Genomic DNA, 16,628 nt, shown 5'->3' with positions numbered 1-16,628 from the left:
TGGGGGGCTCTACTCCATGTCATTCTTACTCTGAGATTCAAGGTGATGGAAGGACTGCTACCTGGACATTGTAGGTCACTGTTGCAGAGGGAAGGAGAGCTCTGGAGGCAATTAAACTCTTTGGCCTGCAAGAGCAGATGCCATTTCCATCATGACCATTGTCCAGAGCCAGCACATGGCCCCATCTTCCTAGGGGACCAGGGTGGCCAATCCCTCCTTGAGCCTGGAGGTCAGGAATGGCAAGTATTTGCTGAACAGCGTCACTGACCACAGGTCTCCTCTCTGGTCTCAAGACAGATGGTTTCTAGTCACCTCGTGTTAAGATAGTTATTCACTTTGGTCAAGACAAGAGCTGCTCTTTGGTCTGGAGCTGCTGTTAGCGTGGGGAATTGGGCATGGTTTTTTAGAATGTGAATATAGATCTCAGGCCACAGTTTGGTAAACTTCACTGTTTGGAAAAAGTTTCCCTCTTACAGCTTAAATTTTTCTTTGCTACATATTTCAGATGAGGGAGATATAAAAGGGAAAAACAAGACATGCGCACATGTAATCCCAAAGCAAATACACCCAGAACCTCCCTCTCTTCTCTGTCCTGGTTTCATTTTTTATCTTCCTCCTTCCTTCTCAGTCCATGAGGCACTTGTTTCATTTTGGTCATTTTAATACTTGACTATTTCCTACATTAAAAAGAAAATGAGACTACCAATGGCAGAGACATTTTAAAACTACTTTTATTTTGAGTAAGTTTTTTGGCTCCTTGTCTTTTGAAAGCCTTGGCTTTGTTCTCGGTGCCTGCTGCTTTATTTCTTCAGACCTGGCCAAAGGAAATTCCCCTGCGCCACAAGGTATCTGCAAAATCTGCTGTCTTACGTGCTTGCAAAGGGCAGAGGGAGATCCACGGCCCACTTGCCATGTGGCCTCACATCGAGGGACGCCGTGTGATATGGCTTGGAGACATGCACTTGACGGCAGTGACAACAGCTCTCAGCCATGTCTGGCAGCCACTTACTTTCCCCAAGCACATCATATCATCACCTGGGAACAGCAGCTCGCCTCCTTGGGAACACAGGTTTGAGGTCTCATGGCTTCCCAGGGATAGGGGAAAAATGCAGCAGAAGGATTTGGGGCCAAAACCCATTTCTTCTCCCCAGAAGGACCACCTGGAGGTCTCTCATGGTCTTCGGCTCATCTTTGCAGCAGCACTAACCAGCGTGGGCATACTCTGCTAGGACTTCTGCCTAAGGGAGAGAAGGGGTCTCTTACCTTGGTCACGCCCTTGCCTTGAGCACACGGGCGCCAAGCTTCAGAAGGGAGACAAACCCCACACGGCTATAATTAGGGGCTTTCTTAAGTCCCTGTCACGCATGATCAAGTGTGCCAGGATTCGGGATCATACTTCCTCCCAGGACTTCCAAGCTCTTGCGTGTGATCTTCTCTAAGTCTGGGGGCTGAGGAAAAGCCAGCCCTCCCCTCCCACCAGCACCCACCCAGTGCATCTCCACCCATAGCTCTCTCTCCCAGCCAGGTCTGGACCAGAGATGCCTCAAGACAGGCGACATTGGTGACATCAACGGGACCCCAGAGGGTCTTCATCTCACTCTCAGAAGCAGGCAGCATTCTGAAAATCACCCTCACGGGCCTGCCTCTGCTCCACAGGACACCCGATGGCCCGAGGAGCTCAGATTCACCTCTCCCACCAGGGTTCTCTGTTCCTTTAAAATCCCACCTTTCCTGTCCTTCTGATTCAGAGGAAGGAGTTCTCAGGACTGTGTCTCCTCCTCCACGGCCCTGGGATCTTTGCCTATAGAGCTCCTTCTCCTCCATCTGTGAGCAAACCTCCTCCCATAGGCAGAAACCACATCCACACACACAAACCCACACAACACACCAACATCACACAGACACCATGCACACTCATAAACCCACACACAACACACCAATATCACACAAACACATATAAACCCACACACAACACACTGACATTACACACACCAACATCACATACACATAAACCTACACAACACACTGACATCATACACACAGACACCACACACATAAACCCACACAACACACCAACATCACACACAGTCACCACACACACATAAACCCATACACAACACACCAAAATCAGACACACACATAAACCCACACACAACACACTGACATCACACACACTGACATGATGCACAAATATACACCCACACACAACACACTGACATCACACACACAGACACCACACACACATAAATGCACACACAACACACCAACATCACACATACACATATCAACCCACACACAACACACTGACATCACACACACCGACATCACACACATAAACCCACACACAACACACTGACATCACACACACAGACACCACACACACACACACAATCCCACACAAAACACACCATCAGACACAGACATCACACACACACACATAAACCCACACACAACACACTGATATCACACACACCAACATCACACACAAACATAGACCCACACACAACACACCAACATCACAAACACAGACACCACACACACACATAAATCCTTACACAACACGCTGACATCACACACACAGACACTATATACACACACAAACCCACACAACACACCGACATCACACACACAGACACTATGTACACAAACATCACCCACAGACACCAGATGCACACACCACACACACTCAAACTTCTCTCTTACACACACTCTTCCATCACACCCTCACAGAGTCATGACACATGAGCATACTACACACATATCACACAAATATTCACAGACACACAGACAACCCCCCCCACACACACAATGCACACACCACACAACTGTCTCCCCGGGCCCACACCCTGTCCATATACAGACCATGGAGAGCAAGAAGGGCTGAAGCTGGTCTTGCCCCTGCCTCCTGGAGGAGGAGGGTGCACCTGAAAACAGACCCAGCAAGAGATGGGAGCCCCGGGAGCAGCCCAACTCCAGGTCCTCTGCAGAAGTGTCCTAGCCGCCACCAGGCTGCCCTGCATGGCTCAGCAGTTTCCAGTGCCAGGCTGCAGGGAGGTGTGTGGGGCTGGAATGCGAAGGCAGCAGAAACCGCCCTGCTCACTCTGACGTCAAAGAAGGGAGGGAGCCATGGGCAGTTGTGGCAGCTGTGGTTCTATACCGGTCCCAGATCTCACTGCCCATCTGCTTCCCTGCACCCGTAGGGCCTGCTGAGCTGGGCAGGGCAGCCTGGTGGCAGCTGGGTCACTCCTGCAGAGGACCTGGAGTGGGGCTGCTCCCAGGGCTTCCATCTCTTGCTGGGTCTGGTTTCAGGTGCACCCTCCTGCTCCTGAGGGTCATCCTCTCTCTCTAGAGCCCTGCCCTGGGGTTCCCTCCTTCCCTACCTGGTTATCTCCTCCTTCCGGGGATCGCCCTTAATAAACACGTGCCCCCAGTCCTCATGTCAGGGTCTGCTTCAGGAGACACAGGATGCTCGGCAGGGTCTTCCATGGTGGGGACTCCCACAGCTTCTTTCTGGCTGCCCTGCCTTCAGGCTCTGCCAGTGGTGGCTCCCATTTCCCTCTCTCCCCTAAAGAAGAGCCTCCACCAGGTCCTGTTCTGGGCCTGTCACCCAGGGTCTTTGGCTCTGTCCTTGGTGGTTCAGGTTAAACGGTGGCCCCCTCAAAATTCAAATGTCAAAGTCTTCACATGCAGTACCTCAGCAAGTGACCTGATTTGGAGTTAGGGTCTGTGAGAGGTACTCAAGTAAAAGTGAAGTCACACGGGTGGGCCCTGATCCAGTAGGACTGGTGTCTTTACAGGAAGGGGAGATCTGGAGAGAGACAGGCACAAGGGGAAGGTGATATGGAGAGCCAGGGAGCAGATGGCTGTCCACCAGCCAAGGTGGGAGGCCTGCACTGGACCTGCCAGCCACCCTCAGGAAGAGCCAGGCTGTCCAGCACCTTGATCTCAGACTTGTGACCTCCAGCCCTATGCAAGAATAAACGTCTGTGGTTTAAGCTGCCCGGGGTGTGTTCCTTGGTGACATCAGCACCAGCAGACACCCAGTGAGAAAGGCTCTGCTTTGCCTGGGCCCTTGTGGTGTCCCTTTGGTGGGCAGAGACTTGCCTGTACCCGACAGAGCCACGTGCACCTGGGTGGGGTCACCTGGTGCTCACCAATCTCTTCACCTGGAACATCAGGCCTGGCAGATGGGACCACCCGAGCATAGACTCCACCTGCCAGCCTAACCTGCTGTGAGTTCTAAGAGAAGTCTTTTGGGCAGTTGACTTTTTTTTTACTTGCGAACCTGGAGATGGAATCAGCCTAGAGTACCTGCCTGAGGCCCTGGGAGACTCTGTGGAACCGAGCCCCACCCCTTCTCGGCCTAGGGGCGAGTGTGGCTGCTGAGCAGGCCCATCCAGGCTGATGGGATGGTGGGGCCTCAGGCAAGGAGGTGACCCTGGCTGTTCCCTAGTGAAATGTAATTCCTACCTTCCTCACAGGACCCAGGGCAGCTCAGAAAACCCCTCTGAGGAGGGAAACAGTATCCAAGGAAGTAGTGCTGTGTTCTTGCCCTCTTCGCTGGTACCTGCAGGGAAGTTCTCAACATTTCAGAGCCCTTGGAGCCTCCAGTGGCCTCCTGCTGTGGTGGGAAGAGCACGGACATGAGCCAGCCAGCCAGAGCTCCAATTCCAAACCCACTGCTTACCCACTTTAAACTAACCTCACCTCAGTTTCCCCACCTGAGTGATGGGGACGAGACTATTCCCCTCAGAGTTCAGTACAATGTGGGCACTCTATCAACGTGCTTGCCAATGTTCTAGAAAACAACAGTGGCTCTGGATAATTTGAGGAGGCAGCAAGGGTAGTGATAAGGACAAAACAAAACAAAACAAAACAAAACTGGCAGGGCCACAGAAGGAGAAGGGGAAATTTAGGTAAGAACTCAGAAAAGCATCAGAGTTAGCCAGAGAAAGTCCTTTGTGAGGGGGGCTCTGTTCCAAGAAGGCTGAGTAGGAACAGCTCCAGTCTGCCGCTCCCAGCATGATTGACAGAGAAGATGGGTAATTTCCACATTTCCAACTGAGGTACCTGGTTCATCTCATTGGGACTGGTTGGACAGTGGGTGCAGCCCACGGGGGGCAAGCTGAAGCAGGCCGGGTGTTGCCTCACCTGGGAAACACAAGGGGTTGGGTGATTTCCCTTTCCTAGCCAAGGGAAGCTGTGACAGATGGTACCTGGAAAAACAGTACACTCCCACCCAAATACTGCACTTTTCCCAAGGTCTTAGCAACCAACAGACAAGGAGATTCTCTCCCGTGCCTGACTTGGCAAGTCCCATGCCCACAGAGCCTTGCTCACTGCTAGCACAGCAGTCTGAGATTGAACTGTGAGGTGGCAGCTTGGCTGGGGGAGGGGCATCCACAATTGCTGAGACTTGAGCAGGTAAACAAAGTGGCCAGGAAGCTTGAACTGGGTAGAGCCCACCAGAGGTCAGGAAGGCCTACTGCCTCTAGGCTCCAGCTCTGTGGGCAGGGCATAGCTGAACAAAAGGCAGCAGAAACTTCTGCAGACTTAAACGTCCCAGTCTGACAGCTCTGAAGAGAGCAGTGGTTCTCCCAGCATGGCATTTGAGCTCTGAGAATGAACAGACTGCCTCCTCAAGAGGGTCCCTAACCCCCATGTAGCCTAACTGGGAGACACCTTCCAGTAGGGGCTGACAGACACCCCATATAGGTGGGTGCCCCTCTGGGGCAAAGCTTCCAGAGGAAGGATCAGGCAGCAATATTTACCACCTGCAATATTTGCTGTTCTGCAGCCTCCGCTGGTGATACCCAGGCAAGTAGGGTCTGGAGTGGACCTCCAGCAAACTCCAACAGACCTGCAGCTGAGGGACCTGACTGTTAGAAGGAAAACTAATGAACAAAAAAGAATAACATCAACATCAACAAAAAGGACATCTACACCAAAACCCAATCTGTAGGTCACCAACATCAAAGACCAAAGGTAGATAAAACCACAAAGATGGGGAGACACTAGAGCAGAAAAGCTGAAAATTCTAAAAATCAGAGTGCCTCTTCTCCTCCAAAGGATCACAGCTCCTCGTCAGCAACAGAACAAAGCCAGATGGAGAAGGAATTTGACGAGTTGACAGAAATATGCTTCAGAAGGTTGGTAATAACAAACTTCTTTGAGCTAAAGGAGCATGTTTGAACCCATTGCAATGAAGCTAAAAACGTTGAAAAAAGGTTAGAAGAATGGCTAACTAGAAAAAACAATGTAGAGAAGACCTTAAATGACCCGATGGAGCTGAAAACCACAGCACGAGAACTTCATGACACATGCAAAAGCTTCAATAACTGATTCGATCAAGTGGAAGAAAGGGTATTAGTGATTGAATATCAAACTAATGAAATAAAGTGAGAAGATAAGGTTAGAGAAAAAAGAGTAAAAAGAAACAAACAAAGCCTCCAAAAAATATGGGACTATGTGAAAAGACCAAATCTACGTTTGATGGGTGTACCTGAAAGTGATGTGGAGAATGGAACCAAGTTGGAAAACAACCTTCAGGGTATTGTCCAGGAGAACTTCCCCAATCTAGCAGGGCAGGCCAACATTCAAATTCAGGAAATACAGAGAGCACCACAAAGATAGTCCTGGAGATGAGCAACCTCAACACACAAAATTGTCAGATTCACCAAGGTTGAAATGAAGGAAAATATATTAAGGGCAGCCAGAGAGAAAGGTCGGGTTACCCACAAAGGGAAGCCCAACAGACTAACAGTGAATCTCTCAGCAGAAATCCGACAAGCCAGAAGAGAGTGAGGGCCAATATTCAACATTGTTAAAGAAAAGAATTTTCAACCCAGAATTTCATATCCAGCCAAACTAAGCTACATAAGTGAAGGAGAAATCAAATCCTTTACAGACAAGCAAATGTTGAGAGATTTTGTTACCACCAGGCCTGCTTTACAAGAGCTCCTGAAGGAAGCACTAAACATGGAAAGAAACAACTGGTACCAGCCACTGCAAAAACATGCCATATTGTAAAGACCATCGATGCTAGAAAGAAACTGCATCAATTAACGGGCAAAATAACCAGCCAACTTCATAATGACAGGATCAAATTCACACATAACAATATTAACCTGAAATGTAAATAGGTAGTATGCCCCAATTAAAAGACACAGACTGGCAAATTGTATAGAGTCAAGACCCATCAGTGTGCTGTATTCAGGAAACCCATCTCACGTGCAAAGACACACATAGGCTCAAAATAAAGGGATGGAGGAAGAGCTACCAAGCAAATAGAAAGCAAAAAAAAGCAGAGGTTGCAATGCTACTCTCTGATAAAACAGACTTTAAACCAACAAAGATCAAAAGAGACAAGGCCATTACATAATGGTAAAGGGATATATTCAACAAGAAGAGCTAACTATCCTAAATATATATCCAGTGAATACAGGAGCACCCAGATTCATAAAGCAAGTCCTTAGAGACCTACAAAGAGACTTAGACTCCCACACAATAATAATGGGAGACTTTAACACCCCACTGTCAACATTAGACAGATCAACGAGACAGAAGGTTAACAAGGATATCCAGGACTTGAACTCAGCTCTGCACCAAGCAGACCTAATAGACATCTACAGAACTCTCCACCCCAAATCAACAAAATATACATTCTTCCCAGTGCCACATCACACTTATTGTAAAATTGACCACATTTTAAAGTAAAGCATGCCTCAATAAATGTAAAAGAACAGAAATCACAACAAACTGTCTCTCAGACCACAGTGCAATCAAATTAGAACTCAGGATTAAGAAACTCACTCAAAAACACACAACTACATGGAAACTGAACAACTTACTCCTGAATGACTACTGGGTAAATAACAAAATGAACAACTTCAGCAAAGTCTCAGGATACAAAATCAATGTGCAAAAATCACAAGCATTCCTATACACTGATAACAGACAAACAGAGAGCCAAATAATGAGTGAACTCCCACTCACAATTGCTACAAGGAGAGTAAAATACCTAGGAATCCAACTTACAAGGGGTGTGAAGTTGGAGAACTACAAACCACTGTTCAACAAAATAAAAGAGGACACAAACAAATGGAAGACCATTCCATGCTCGTGGATAGGAAGAATCAATATTGTGAAAAAGGCCTTACTGCCCAAGGTAATTTATAGATTCAATGCCATCCCTGTCAAGCTACCAATGACTTTCTTCACAGAATTGGAAAAAACTACTTTAAAGTTCATATGGAACCAAAAAAGAGCCCACATTGCCAAGACAATCCTAAGCAAAAATAACAAAGCTGGAGGCATCAAGCTACCTGACTTCAAACTATACTACAAGGCTACAGTAACCAAAACAGCATGGTACTGGTACCAAAACAGATATATAGACCAATGGAACAGAACGGAGCCCTTAGAAATAACGCCACATATCTCCAACCATCTGATTTTTGACAAACCTGACAAAAACAAGAAATAGGGAAAGGATTCCCTATGTAATAAATGGTGCTGGGAAAACTGGCTAGCCATATACAGAAAGCTGAAACTGGATCCTTTCCTTACACCTTATACAAAAATTAATTCAAGATGGATTAAAGACTTAAATGTTAGGCCTAAAACCATCAAAACCCTAGAAGAAAAGCTAGGCAATACCATTCAGGACACAGGCATGGGCAAGGACTTCATGACTAAAACACCAAAAGCAATGGCAACAAAAGCCAAAATAGACAAGTGGGATCTAATTAAACGAAATAGCTTCTGCAAGGCAAAAGAAACTTCCATCAGAGTGAACAGGCAACCTACAGAATGGGAGAAAATTTTTGCAATCTACCCATCTGACAAAGGGCTAATATCCAGAATCTACAAATAACTCAATCAATTTTACAAGAAAAAAACAAACAACCCCATCAAAAAGTAGGCAAAGGATATGAACAGACACTTCTCAAAAGAAGACATCTATGCAGCCAACAGACACATGAAAAAATGCTCATCGTCACTGGTCATCAGAGAAATACAAATCAAAACCACAATGAGATACTATCTCATGCCAGTTAGAATGGCAGTCATTAAAAAGTCAGGAAACTACAGATACTGGAGAGGATGTGGAGAAATAGGAACACTTTTACACTGTTAGTGGGAGTGTAAATTAGTTCAACCATTGTGGAGGACACTGTGGCAATTCCTCAAGGATCTAGAACTAGAAATACCATTTGACCCAGCCATCCCATTACTGGGTATATACCCAAAGGATTATAAATCATGCTACTATAAAGACACATTCACATGTATGTTTATTGTGGCACTATTCACAATAGCAAAGAGCTGGAACCAACCCAAATGTTCATCAATGATACTGGATTAAGAAAATGTGGTACATATACACCATGGAATACTATGCAGCCATAAAAAGTATGAGTTCATGTCCTTTGTAGGGACATGGATGAAGCTGGAAACCATCATTCTCAGCAAACTATCACAAGGACAGAAAACCAAACACCGCATGTTCTCACCTACAGGTGGGAATTTAACAATGAGATCACTTGGACACAGGGTGGGGAACATCACACACCAGGGCCTGTCAGGGGTTTGGGGGCTGGGGGAAGGATAGCATTAGGAGAAATACCAAATGTAAATGACGAGTTGATGGGTGCAGCAAACCAACATGGCACATGCATACCTATGTATCAAACCTGTACGTTGTGCACATGTACCCTAGAACTTAAAGTATAATAATATTAAAAAAAGAAAGTCTTTGGGGATGAAAAAAATTCTAGGCCCTCAACCAACACATCTTCCCACCTTCTGGCAAGGAGGGGACAGAAGGGCTAATTCCCAGTGTCTCTTTGCTGCAGTGGGGCCTGGGTCACAGTGAGGATACCGGAGCTCAGGAGCAGGAGGCAGGTGCATGGCCTCCACCTTGCAGAGGGGATCGCATGTTGGCCCAGTCTTCCTAGATAGGCCCAAGGCTTCTAGCAATCTTCCCAGTGCTGAGTTGAGCACTGTCTGCCTGACCTCAGGTACAATCCTGGTTTCTTTTTCTTTCTTTTTTTCTTTAACAACAACACTTGGTGAATGCTCGCCCGCCTCTAGGGTTAGGGAAAGAATGCTCCCTCCCATCATCTGTCTGCAGCTGCTGTGACTGTCCCCAGCCATGGGGAGGGCCTCCTTCTCTAGAACAGTGAAGGCGTCCTCAGGCAACCTCAGGGAAGGGGAGGGGCTGACCTGGGCCCCAGTGTCCCATCAGCTGCCTGGAGTTCTTCAGGTTCCAAGGAGAGGCTGGGCTGGGTCTCCTGGGCAGGCCTCCTGGGTGGCTGTCAGCTGGACAGTCCTCCACCCCTCACCCAGCACAGCGATGGAGCCTCAGCACGCAGTGTGTGGTCCAGGATTCGGAGCAATAGACTGAGGAAGGGGGCTGGGCGGGGAGAGAACGTCACTTCCTGAGTCCCACGCACCATCCACTCAGCAGCTGCTGAGGCCCGTGGCTCACCTTTGACCCTCACTGTGACCTGGCTGATCTTTCGGAAAGGTTGGTCCAGGCAGCTGGCAATATCCAGGAAGTGGGCTCTGGGGACAGCAACTGCAGAGATGCTTACATGCTGTTTTATCTAGAAAGCAAAGAATAACATTAGAAAAATAAAGTAGATTTCCTGCTCTTAGCTGATTATAACTCCTATTACTGTGCTTTCAGCAGGGCCACCCTCAGACTCAGGCCCTGCTCATCTCCAGCTAGAGTTCCCTATGTCCCAGCAGGGAGGCTGCACAGCTCACAAATGCCCTGTCTCTCTCCTTGGGGTTGTTTCCCAGAACCTCTGCTCTTCCTGCTCTGGGAGGGATGACTCAATGAGGACAGCTTTTGGTATTTGCAGCGGCAGACTGAACCCCAGCCACCATCCTTGAGCTCTTGTTTGTGTCATAAAGGGTGCTCCACATGCTCTCAGAGAGGTCTGGGCTCATGGCAACTGTCCAACAGCAGCCCAGGTCAAAGCATAGATGTGGTGCAAAACCCACCTGCAGGTGAGGATGGTGCTGGGAGAGCCTTCCTGGAAGACTTGATGGCAGAGCTGGGGTTTTGAGGGATGAATAGGAGTTTACTGGGGTGGAGGTGAGCATGGGAGGGGAGAAGGAAGACATTACAGGCAGGCCATAGAACATGTTCAGTGACACAAGACAGGCCATTGTGTTGAGGAAATGGAGCCATAGGAGGGTGTTTCATAAAACAGTAGATGGGTCTGAGCAGAATACACTCAGGACAGTGTCTTCCCTTTTTCTAGGAATGCCCTCCTCAGCCCACCATTCAGATAACAGGTTCTTCCTGTTATCTTCCTCTCTTCCCAGCCACTGTATTGTTTGTCAGTTTGAGCTCCTCTACCTGTCCTGATCAGGTAAATTTACTTATCAGCATAACCAAATCCTTCTTACATTTTACACCGTGGACTTCGAATCAGCCAATGCTTGCTGGGGGTGTCAAGACCTCTTATATGAGTTATTTCACCAGATTCTCAAGTTTGTCTATCCATGAGAAATGAGTTTGTGAGAAAATGGAGGCTCAAATATATGACTTGTTTAAAGCTAGATAGCCAGGAAGTAGAGAAGCTTGGTCTTGCAACCTGACTCTTGGATAAAGTCTAACATTTTCTCACCATGCATACCTACAGCTATTTTAGTGTCAACAGAAGGTCACTGTAAATGGGGAGAAATTTGCCACAGTACCTGCAAGTGAGGCCAGTCCTGCAAGTCCAAGTTCAAAGAGCTGAGACAGTGGTGGCCACAGCTGATATTTTTTGAATGCCATCACTGTGTGTGTGCGTTCTATAATTTACTCCTCATAATCCAATGATGTGATGTGTCTTTATTTCCCCTCTCCAGGTGGAAACACAAGGTTATCTGAGGGAAGCAACTTCATGGGCTTTGCCATGCCTGCCCCAGCACAGGAGGGCAGTGCTGAGCTAAGGGCTCTCCCCCACTGCCCCTGCAGGATCCAGACACCCAGCAGCTTGCTAGATAAGCAGGCAGATAAGCAACTGGATCCTGCCATTGTTTCCCTTAGCGGAGGAAGAGGAAGACGGACAGCCCACAGCCCCTCTGCCTGCCAACAGTGCTGCCTTCTTCAACATTCAGCCCAAAGCAAGCAGTCTAGATTTGCTCTGGCTGGGAGAAAAAATAAACACAGAAACTGTGAACCGATATGTTAGGTTGCTAAGGAAAGAGCTGCTTACAGCTTGGGGAGCTGAAAGGACACTCACTTTTTGTCTCATCTTTTAACTCTTTCTTCTTCAGCATCATTAAGGGTGCTCCTGGGATCACTGCTAGGAAGGGACGAGAAAGACACAGAGCAATGTAGAGGGAGTGGCAGGCTGTGATGCTGACTCTGCTGAGACCCCTTCCCATTCTATGGGGACTTTGAAGGCTGAGACAACCCTTCAGAGTTGTCTTGGAGGGACAAGGGGCCCAGACCCTCATGGGCCACATTGAGCAGTCTGTGGATGCCATCCCCAGAAGAAGGCGTAACTTTGGATGGGGGCTCTCTCCAGGCCAGGCAATCATGGAGGAACTGACCATGCAGCTGAGGGCTCTGGAGCTGGGGCTATGCTCTTCATTCCTGAAGGGGGTTTGAGGGATGCATCAGTTACAGGGTCCTCTGCACACCTCCCCTGATATCTCGACATCTCTTAAGGTTTGAGTCATGTCTATTAGGAATTGGAAGCTCTCTGCTTCTCTGCAGATGCCCTGGTGGCCTCCCTAGACATCGTTCTTTGGTAGCATCACCACCTTTGTCCACCCAGGGTCACAGAATTTTGCACGGAAGCTCCACTGGCTGAAATTCTCCAGGATGACTGTGTGCCTGATCCCACTGGGGAAGCAGAGGTGGATGGGTCAGGCAGCAGCAACCAGTCAAGGTAGGAGGAGTTGCTTCTGGTCTGGTCCAATTAGTAGAACTGGACAGTGCCTTTTGCAGTGTCCAGACAGAAGTACCTAAGGTTCTGTTTGGCCCCAGGCAGGGATGGGAGCATGATGCACCACATGGCATATGGTTCCATGGGCAGTTCTCAGGCATGAGCACTGGTTACCACTGAGTTGAAGCTTTTCTGGCATCTATCTTTGGTCCTAGGAGCATCCTGTGGGCGTAAAGGGAAGTCTGGTCCATTTTTGGGGCAAGCCTTTTTTAAGACTACCATAATAGTCTTCAGATACACAAATACTGAATCTCTGATTCCATCTTGTTCTGTCGTCAGAATCTATAAAGTGGGAGTATGCTATAGTAAGGAAGAGGAGAGGGGAGTTGGAAAGATAACTAAGGACTTATTGGATACCATTTGGATTCTTTTCTCTCAAAATGTGATGAAAACGGCTTTGTTTTTGTTTTCTTTCTTTCTCTTCTTTTCCTTGTTATTCACATATAATGTACATACATAAAGTGTGCAAATTAATAGATCTATAGATCACTTTGTGTGTATTGCCATCTCAACAATATTAAGTCTTCCAATCCATGAACATGGGATGTCTTTCATTTGTTTAGGTATTCTTCAATTTATTTCAGTAAAGTTTTCTAGTTTTCAGTGTACAAGTGTTGCTCCTCTTGGTTAAATTTATTACTAAGCATACTATTTTTTGATACTATAGTAAATTGCATTGTTTCTAAATTTTCATTTCAGGTTATTTATTAATAATGTGTAGAAATAAAACTTTTTTGTTGATTTGGTATTCTGCAACTTTGCTGAATGCTTTTATTAGCTTTAATAGTTTTTTAATGGCTTCTTTGGTATTTTTCTATTTATCAGATTATTTTACCTGTGAATAGAAATGATTTACTTTTTGTTTTTTAATCTGAATGCTGTTGTGAGCTGAATTGTATTCCTCCAAATTCATATTCCTCCAGCACTTCAGAATGTGATTATATTTGAAAACAGATCCTTTAAAGAGGTAAAATGATGCTATATGGGTGGATCCTAATCTAATCTGACTGGTGTCCTTGTAAGAAGAGAAAATTTGAACACACAAGGAGACACCCGGGGTGCACATGCACAGGAGATGACCATGTGAAAAGACAGAAATAAGGTAGTAATCTGCAAGCCAAGGAGAGAGGCCTCAACCTCAAGAGAAACCAACCCTGATGACACATTGATCTTGTACTTCTGGCCTCCAGAACTATGAGAAAATAAATGTTTGTTATTTAAGCCACCCAGTCTTTGCTACTTCGTTGCTGAACAAACTAGCTAAACTAATACAGATACCCTTGTTTTATTTTTGAATAATAACAACAACACTCCAGGAAATTGTGCATTGTCTATTTTGTGCCCCAGGGACCCAAGCCAAGTAACAGAGGACTTTGAAGATATTGTGAAAAAATGGAATTAAAGATAAACATTTATTTCTCAACATAAGCAAGATGAAGAAACTTTTGAAACCAGTGATAAAACCTGTTCAGTCCATCCCTAAAAAAACTGAGGGTCCTGGGAATTTAACCACGTTAATCAGGTTTTTTAAACATTATTCACTGAAAAAAATGAGTGCCCTTTAAAGATTTTTTAATATTAGAGAGAAAAAGACGTAATAAGGAGCCAAACCAGGGCTGTGAGGTGAATGCCTAATGATTTCCCACTGAAAGTGTGGAAATTGCCCTTGTTTAATGAGAGAAATGAGTAGGGGCATTGTCGTGGTGGACAAAGGCTCTCTCATGAAGTTTTTTAAGGCATTTTTCTGCTAAAGCTTTGGCTAATTTTCTCAAAATACTCTTATAATAAGTAGATGTTATAATTCTCTGGCCCTCCAGAAAGTCAACAAGCAAAATGCCTTGAGCATCTCAAAAACTATTGCCACGACCTTTGCTCTCCATTGGTCCACTTTTGCTTTGACTGGATCCTCACCATCTCTTGGTAGCCTTTGCTTTGATTGTGATTTATCTTCAAGATTGTACTGGTAGAGCCATATTTCATCTCCTGTAATAACCCTTTGAAGAAATGCTTCAGGATGGAGATACCATTTGATTAAAATTTCCGTGAAAAGTTCTGTTCTTGTCTGCCGCTGATCTGGGAGCAAGAGTTTTGGCACCCATCGAGTAGAAAATTTACTCAACTTTAATTTTTCAGTCAGAATTGTGTAAGCTAAACTAATTGAGGTGTCTAATATGTTGACTATTTTTGTGCAGTTAATCATTGGTCCTTTTCAATTAGGACATGAACAAGATGAATATTTTTCTCGCAAATTAATGTTGGATGCTCTACTGTCATGGGCTTCATTTTCAGCATTGTCTCATCTGTTCTTAAATGAGTTATCCATTTGCAAACTGCTGATTTCTTTGGGTCATTGTCCCCATGAAATTTTCACAAAGCATCAATGTTTCACCATTCTTCCACTCAAGCTTCACCATAAATTTGATGTGTTTTGGGTCTTTTCTGCTCAGAGACCCTTCTCTCTCTATATAGAGAGCTGTTCCTCTTTCTCTTCTCTTCTGCCTATTAAACTTCTGCTCCTAAACTCCTCGTATGTGTCTATCTCCTAAATTTTCCTGGTGGACAATGATGAACCCCAGAGTATATCCCCCAGACAATGCAGCTGCTTCATATTGGGGACCTCATCTGGGATATCACGGTACAACATTAATCAAAACATGATAAAAGTTACAGGTATCAACTTCTGGACACATCATACTCGAGTCAAACCTAGAAAGCTGATAGAGCAACCTTTGACAGCCCGGATAAACGTCCTGGATACCAATGTGAAGAAATAGGAGATCTTAAGGTGAAAATCATAAAGGATAAATAAATGAGCAAGGGCTGCTCATCCTACTCAGTCCTACTTTTACTTTCCGTCATTTCTACTTTTCCCCTCTAGATGTACTGCCAGATATTAAAACTTACTTTTGATGCATATTTGCAGGAAGGTTTTAATTATCCATGGGATTGCATTTGTAACTTCATAGACCTCCAAAAGGGAAATGTTATATCTTGGCAATTTAGATGAAAATTATCTACTACACCACACTTGCAGGAATTGCGATACTCACTCTATTTGCAATGAGACAAAAGCTGTAACACCTTCTAACTGGAATATCAGACAGAGAGTTTCCATTGCTATAGTATTTTGCTTAATTATTATCCTTACAGCAGAAATAATAGTTACCAACAAAAAGGAAGCATGAAAGTTTTACTATCACTGAGCCCGCAAGGACTTTTTATTGGGTTTGGTAATATGTCATATCCTGGCTATGAAAAGAAGGTTGTAAGGGAAAGAGATTTTATATAAGAAAGGATCTTGGGTGGTAAATACTTGTCTAAAAGAAAATAGTTCGTTGTTTAAAAGAGATGTTTAGGACAAGTCAGAAAGTTTAAGCATGTTGTAGATAGTTTGTGGAAATCTTGAAAAAATTATAAGGATGGATGGTAAATACTTGCCCTAAAAAGAATGGTTGATTGTTTAAAAAGAAGAATATTCAGGACAAGCCAGAAAGTTTTAGCATGTCATAGGTGGTTTGTGGAGGCCATGAAGGAATTAATTGCAGGAAAGATTTAGCTAAGATTAACACTAAAATTACACTAGCCACTCAATTACATATTTCTCCCAATCATATTGCAAGTTATAAAAGATTGCCTTGACCTGAAATTATTCCCTAATGGCAAATCAAG

At 45.5% G+C, this 16,628-nt stretch overlaps 1 long non-coding RNA gene across 16 annotated transcripts in view, besides 1 other annotated feature; it reads right to left on the bottom strand.

Annotated features, from left to right (window-relative positions):
• Positions 1 to 713: 713 nt before the first annotated feature.
• Positions 714 to 16,628, bottom strand: part of LINC03125 (long intergenic non-protein coding RNA 3125) — a 42,205-nt gene continuing 26,290 nt past the window's right edge. The window contains exons 1-7 of one of the 16 annotated variants that reach the window (NR_199685.1): positions 10,774 to 10,886; positions 10,493 to 10,610; positions 5,071 to 5,151; positions 4,708 to 4,798; positions 4,471 to 4,621; positions 3,381 to 3,808; positions 714 to 1,238 (exon numbers count right to left, since the gene is read on the bottom strand). This is a non-coding gene — a long non-coding RNA (long intergenic non-protein coding RNA 3125). Of the gene's footprint in view, positions 3,061 to 3,380; positions 3,809 to 4,470; positions 4,622 to 4,707; positions 4,799 to 5,070; positions 5,152 to 9,883; positions 10,611 to 10,773; positions 10,887 to 12,248; positions 12,312 to 16,628 lie in introns of those variants that run through there. The other 15 variants (NR_199682.1, NR_199684.1, NR_199680.1 and 12 more) reach the window with 15 other exon arrangements.
• Positions 11,315 to 11,609: a silencer, noted in NCBI's record as "tiled region #4869; HepG2 Repressive non-DNase unmatched - State 23:Low". NCBI's record gives its function as "represses a minimal TATA promoter and a strong SV40 promoter by Sharpr-MPRA in HepG2 cells {active_cell/tissue: HepG2}" and the evidence as "EXISTENCE:reporter gene assay evidence [ECO:0000049][PMID:27701403]".

The sequence above is a fragment of the Homo sapiens genome, chromosome 20 (genome assembly GCF_000001405.40).
Source record: "Homo sapiens chromosome 20, GRCh38.p14 Primary Assembly".
NCBI lineage: Eukaryota > Metazoa > Chordata > Mammalia > Primates > Hominidae > Homo > Homo sapiens.
Note: the sequence above shows the minus strand (reverse complement) of the source record. Positions and strands in the feature narration are given on the sequence as shown.